The 4,292-nt window shown below is 39.2% G+C and overlaps 1 long non-coding RNA gene across 1 annotated transcript; it reads left to right on the top strand.

The window, feature by feature from the left end:
* LOC124900851 (uncharacterized) lies at positions 1,667-3,387 on the top strand. Its single transcript, XR_007058451.1, has 2 exons — positions 1,667-2,856; positions 3,333-3,387. It is a non-coding gene; the product is annotated as an uncharacterized LOC124900851 (long non-coding RNA).
* Positions 3,388-4,292: the final 905 nt, after the last annotated feature.

Genomic DNA, 4,292 nt, shown 5'->3' with positions numbered 1-4,292 from the left:
TGTGCCTAAAGAAATACAATTATAATTGCCATCAAACTAATTTGGTATGCATGCTTTTACCTCCCAAACCATAAATTGTCCTCTTCCTTCAGGACACTGTAAACCTTGAATTAGAATCAAATCAACAATTTCCATTATTGTAATGTAGAAATCAGTTCATTTTTTAAACACAGGAATCAAAGACTGCCTGGCTTACATATCCTAAACAGTTTTAATATGAAAAAAAGATATATAAATGTTTAGAAAAAAAATTAGTAGAATTAATTAAAATCAATTAGAATATGTGTATTAAAAGCAATATTAAGTTGTATCCATATGTTGTTCTTTTATTCTTTGGGTTACATGGGATATAAAGGGATTGACAACCTCAACCTGTAAATGCTTCTTTAAAAATCATGGAATTATGAATCTGATTCCCATTTTCAGTCTTCCCTAAGGCCCTTTCTCTATTATAATTTCTTAGAATGTATTTGCTCTTCTTTTCTATAACTTTTGCCGAATATGTCATTTATTAAAACAAAACAAAGCAAACAAAACTCTAAAAACTAAAAATACACCATTACTGGTTATAAGTCTTTCTTCAGATAAATGCATAGTTCTGTAAATTCATGCCCCATGATATCTTCACAGATTATCCATTGGTTTTCTTGGTGTTTAGTAATTCTTGTACATATCCAAAGATAGGTCAGTTCAGAGGGTCTTAAGGAAGATGAAACTGCTGAAATAAAGACTGGACCCGGTTGGGAAATGAATCTCACTTAAAGCAAAGATTGATAATAATCTCAAGCAAAAGTGGGAAAATATCATAACAGGAGGTCTCTTGCCAAACTATAGCTTTGCACATCCCATTTGGAGTTTAAGACTAGTACCCAGTAATTTAAATATTTAAATTTATGAGCATAGTAAGAAATATGAGATTTGATAACCTCAGAGTTTTCTAATACTAGATTTTGATAACAATATTTAAAAAATCAACAGTTCCTTTAATTTAATTATTATTCTAGTAGTTACTTTTGGAAAAATTGTTTAATTCTCTATCCCAAAACAATTTGTCAAAAAAAACCCAGTGTTTTTAAAATGCCACATCTTTGTCTTTCCCAGTATTTTCATAAAAAATAGCTGGAGAGAGAAAAACAAAACAAAACAAAGAGATGCATCAGCTGCAGCTACACATCAATTACCGCATAACTGCTTCCAGTGCCTAACCCTTCTACCTCCAGTTTCTACTTTTTCTACCTCTAGTTGTTACTTTTAAAATGCATTCTGGGCTGGGCATGGTGGCTCACCCCTGTAATCCCAGCATTTTGGGAGGCTGAGGAGGGTGGATCACCTGAGGTCAGGAGTTCGAGACCAGCCTGACAAACATGGAGAAATGCCGTCTCTACTAAAAATACAAAATTAGCCAGGCATGGTGGCGCATGCCTGTAATCCCAGCTACTCAGGAGGCTGAGGCGGGTGGATCACCTGAGGTCAGGAGTTCGAGACCAGCCTGACAAACATGGAGAAACGCCGTCTCTACTAAAAATACAAAATTAGCCAGGCATGGTGGCACATGCCTGTAATCCCAGCTACTCAGGAGGCTGAGGCAGGAGAATCATTTGAATCCGGGAGGCGGAGGTTGCAGTGAGCCGAGATCGTGCCATTGTACTCCAGCCTGGGCAACAAGAGGGAAACTTGGTCTTGAAAAAAAAAAAAAAAAAAAGAATTCTGTTTGACTATATATGTGCATTTTTAGTTTTTGGCTAACTGTGGCTCAAAATAGACTGCAGTGCATTTTGTTTGTTAGCAACACTGGTGGAAAAAAATGTTACTCTCTGACTCAGACACACACACAGATCAATTTTAAGCAACATTACTCCTTAAATGAAGCATACAAAATGAAAATAGTCTCATTTTTAAAATGTGTATGTTCAATTTTATTTCTCTCTTAAAATACTATTTCCAAAATCTAACCCTAAGAAAATAGTAAAATTCATAATAATATTTAAATATTTTATATATGACCTTTACCTTTATTCCAGTAATTAAACATATTTCCAAGATATTTAAGTTCAATTTTAAGGAACTAGCATTCAGTACATGTTAAATTTTAGCAGTTGACAAATGTCAATGATAACATTTGTGCTCATAAAAAAAGGTTCATGAATCAATAATGAGGGTTTCTATTTTAATTTTTATTAAAAAATTTAAAATCCTGAGGTTGCTCCTGAATGTTAGAGGTGATTATAACAATTTTGCTTTGTAAATACAATTACAGGTATTTTTGCAGTTTTTGCATAATGATAATTTAAAAACTTATTTTAAAGGCTGCTTAAAAGTTAATTTTCACCAGGTGCATAATGAAGCCTCTAATTAGGCCTCCTTCAGAGGAGGTTTGATTGTGAAAATACACAGCAGCATTTCCTGAGATAAAAGTTCCTGCTAAAATGGGATTTGGGTTTTTAACTTTAGTTTGCTAATGGTTCTTGAAATGTGAGAAAAAAAGTCGTTCAGAAATATTTACAAAACAAATGCATAATTATTGATTTTATTGAGAATATAGAAGACATTTTCATACCATGTGTTTGGGAAATGAAATCCCGTAGTCTGTTGCCAGAAATAAAACTATTAAAAATATAAGAAATACTCTCAATAATCCCAGTACATAATTTCTGGTTTATCCCATTGTTCTGTCAGCTTGTAAACGAGAGTCGTTTCTGTCACAGGATACTTTGGGTGTCACTTCTTGCCAGCCAGAAACCTGTGTGGCTGGTGGTGCCTCTGCTTGAGTTTTGTTCGCACCTGCAGAGCTTGTTGCCCCAACTCGGACCAGTAGCTTGCATTTGGCTCCCGCTAACAGCCCGGAACCCAGGCCTGGTGAGAGTGAGCCAAGTGTGGGGCTACGAGGGGTGTTAAGCGAGCAAGTGTAGGATCCAGCCACTGCGCACAACAAGGCGCTCTGGCTGTTGTGGTGCAGCAGGCAGCTCCAGGTGCCTACACAGGTGCCAGTTTTGTATAAGGCTGCGGCTGGACCAGGCGTACAGCAAGCAGTTTCTGCTGCAGGCGCTGGGGTCTGGATGAGGGGAATGTGGGGAACGTGGTGGCACACAAAAAAGTTGGAGACGCCAGCAACTGCAGAACCCCAAGGGGGGCGGGGTGCTACAGCTCTCTCATTTCCACAGCCGGCATCTGAGGAATTTATCATTTTAAAATTACATTTATTTATTTATTTATTTATTTAGTTAGTTAGTTAGTTAGTTGGTTAATTATTATGCTGATCATGTCTCGTGTTTTTAAAATGCTAACTCATTGAAATCGTATTGTTGTTCATTCTTTTCATTCATATTTCCCAGGAACATAGACCAAGGCTTAGGATATAAAAGGTGCCAATAAATATTTCTCAAATGACTAAGATTATAATGGCTTTTTTAGTCCTGCCACCTTGCTCCCACCTAGAACTCCCTGGTTATCTCACCCCTGCCATCACTTCCCATCACATGGTGTGGCCACAAGCTCCGGCTTGGGGAATCCTGATGAAGTTGGGCCCCCAGAAGTGTTGGCGCTCTTCACTTTCACTTTCACAGTCCGATGATCGGGATGGTGTCACCACCCACAGCTTGGCAAGCTGGCCAGGAATGTGTTACAGCCCTTTGCAGGCCTGCCCACAGTTCAGCAAGAAGGCCAGGAGAGTGTTACAGCTTTTTCAGCCTCTGCCATTCGGTGGGGCCCAAGCTCTTGTCCACATCCAGAAAGAATGAGGTTACACCAACAACTGGAGGGTGAGCGTGGCAGAAGACTTTTACCCAGTGACAGAACAGCTCTTAGCAGAGAAGAGACCCAAAGTGGGTAGCTCCTACCCGCTGGGGGGCGCTCCTGATGTCTGTCCCAGTCTGGTTGTGTCTGGGGGTTTTTATGGGCTCAGAATGAGGTACATGCTCATTGGTCTACGGGCAGGAAGAAGTGTGTGCTGAGTGGTCCATGAGTGGGCCTGGAAAAAGCATCATTTGACTGGCTAACAGGCATCAAGGAAATTTTCACTGTGGGTGTGGATTCTACGTGGAACTGGCAGCCTGGGGTTCAGATTTCAGGCTGTCTCCAGCCAGAAGGTGGGGTTTCACGGGAAACCTGCCCCTATTTGCCTAGCAATTTGCCTCCAGCCGCTTTCATTTCTTTGATAAACTAATACTCACAATTCCTTCTTCCTCCATCAATGATCTACTTACTACCAATTCTTCAGATGGTTCATTTTCCAAAAGCTTTCTCAAACTTCCTCAGAGTCTCCAAGTAGAAAAAATTGTTATGCTTTATCTAAT

Source organism: Homo sapiens, chromosome 4, assembly GCF_000001405.40.
Source record: "Homo sapiens chromosome 4, GRCh38.p14 Primary Assembly".
NCBI classification, from domain to species: Eukaryota; Metazoa; Chordata; class Mammalia; order Primates; family Hominidae; genus Homo; species Homo sapiens.
The sequence above is the reverse complement of the archived record's forward strand: the minus strand, read 5'-3'. Positions and strand labels throughout refer to the sequence as shown.